This window comes from Homo sapiens, chromosome 10 (genome assembly GCF_000001405.40).
Source record: "Homo sapiens chromosome 10, GRCh38.p14 Primary Assembly".
Taxonomy (NCBI): domain Eukaryota; kingdom Metazoa; phylum Chordata; class Mammalia; order Primates; family Hominidae; genus Homo; species Homo sapiens.
The window spans coordinates 31,773,760-31,775,951 of NC_000010.11; the positions used below are offsets into that span (position 1 = coordinate 31,773,760).

Here is a 2,192-nt window from a genome sequence, read left to right on the forward strand (position 1 = left end):
GATGGCATTGAGATTTGGAAGTAGAGGGGGAGCCATGACGGAGGGAAATGGGGAGCCAGGGGCCTGGGGAGAAACATTTCTGAACGCCCAGTTGTGCCCGCTGCACCTGCTTCCTCAATCCCCAGGCTCAGCCCACGGTGGTTGTGGGGCCTCAGATGCCTGTGAGTATGCATGTTTGAGTGTGCACGTGTGAGTGTGTGTATACTCACGTGAGTGCATATGTGAGTGTGTGAGTGTGCATGCATGTGTGAATGAGTGTGTGTGTGCGTGCACGTGCATGTATGTTTTAAAGAAGCACAGATTCTCATCAGTCTGAGCTGGGGATCGCGCATTCGTTTGAGGCCACAAAGGCCAAACATGTGCTCTGTCCTCCTGCCAGCTCTGGGGCCTCTGGCTAAGGTAGCCTATTTTATGGATGAGAAGAAAAGCCCCAAGCACATTTAAGAGGCCACCTGGAGAGCTGATTATGATTTTTAAGAGCTAATGCCGCCACCCACGACTCACTGTTTATGAACAGCCTTTGGTCGCCATCACTATCATAAACTGTGTGTGAGACCCTGTATATTCGTGGGCCACCCAAAGCACTTGGTGGGCAGAGGACAGTCAGCACTAATCACAGTGCCGGGAGGCAAGAGGGCCCCTTGGCTGTGCTGGATAAGATGAGAACTGAGACCAAACAAAGGCAGTGAAGGCAGCTGCTCCTGCACGCAGCTGCGCAGCGGCCTATTGAAGGTGACAGATCCCGTTAAGTTATGCAGCCAGGCGCGCACAGAGGAGCCAGGCCCCTGTAAATCAACAACAGGCCCACATCTTTGGGAAGGCTTCTCCAAGCCTGAGGGCCCGAGCAGGCCCACAGTCTGGGTATAAAGGAAGAAAAAGGAGGAAGAAAGGGGTGTGTGGTTATCCTGCAAGACAACACTGACAGCAAAGCTCTGAGCATCAGCGGTGGGGCAGGAATCTCAGGAATCCCTCATCTCTTCCTCCAGAGCCCCTGGAAAAATCCAGAAGCTCTGAACCCTTAGGGCTGCCTGACTTGAGCCCAGTGCTGCCCAGCCTGGAGCAGGCAGCCCCAGCCACAGAGCAGATCAGCCCCCACCGTCCCTGCAGCCTGGAGGGAGATGGGTGCGGTAGCTCCCTGGAGGGCGTTAGACTCGACTGTAAAATAGGGGTGCAGGGCAAGCCCCCTCCAGTCCTTCCAGCTCTGATTCCACAACTGTTCAGTGTCAAGGTGAGATTCCTCCCTGAATCCCTCCCTGAATGATAGAAGGAAGACGCCCCCCAGTCCCCACTCTGGAGCAAGGAGAGAGCTCTGCAGGCGTTGAGTGAGACATCGCCAGTGAGGAGACCGAGTTTCAGAGAAGCCACTGGTGTGTCATGCCTAATGACGAAGCTGAAATCAGAACCCAAGTCACTGGGTGGCCAGCCCAGTGCCCAGTGCCACAAGGTGACCAGGTCAGGTGTCTGCTTGGTGGCTGCCAAGTTTCTGAAATGCTGCTCTCTGAAACGATGACACAAAAATAGAACCTAACAGGTTCATAGCTGAAAACAGGGATTGGTGAAAAAAAAAATCAAGCCTTCAGCTGCAGCTCTTAGTTTTTTCTTTGGCCTCCCTGCTGCCACCCCTATCACCTAGTGCAGACAAAAGCAGGAATTAATCACTATTATTCACAGAGCTGCCTCAGTGAGGAGGCGAACAGTCTCCCGTAGTACTGACTTCCAACACTATGGAAACAAGGGGAGGAGAACAGGGGAGAGGAAGGAGCATCCGACTCCACAGCGGGAGATGGGCTCCGAATTTGTGGCTCACACCCTCTCTTCAACAGCACAGAGAATGCTTCGCCCTGTTTATCTGCCCTGAACCCTTAGGTTCAGGTTGTAATGAGGTGCAAACTCACGAAACTCATCCAAGTGGAGCAAGTCTGCTTCCTTTAGGTAAAAATCGTTTTAGTATTTAGAAAGGCCATTTCTCTTTTGGCCGTAAAGACCTTCTCAAAATTCATGGAAAAGTTGCACAGCAATGTGAAGGTAGTAATGCCAGTGAACTGTACACTTTAAAAATGGTCAATTTGAGATTATGTATATTTTACTATAATTTTATTTATTTATTTTATTATTTATTAATTATTTTTGAGGCAGAGTCTCACTCTGTTTCCCAGACTGGAGTGCAGTGGTGCATCCATAGCTCACTGTAG

General features: G+C 51.0%; 1 annotated feature.

Annotated features, from left to right (window-relative positions):
- Positions 290 to 1,287: an enhancer, noted in NCBI's record as "H3K4me1 hESC enhancer chr10:32062977-32063974 (GRCh37/hg19 assembly coordinates)". NCBI's record gives its function as "activates a minimal SCP1, AML or CMV promoter by ChIP-STARR-seq in primed H9 embryonic stem cells {active_cell/tissue: H9 hESC(primed)}" and the evidence as "EXISTENCE:reporter gene assay evidence [ECO:0000049][PMID:30033119]".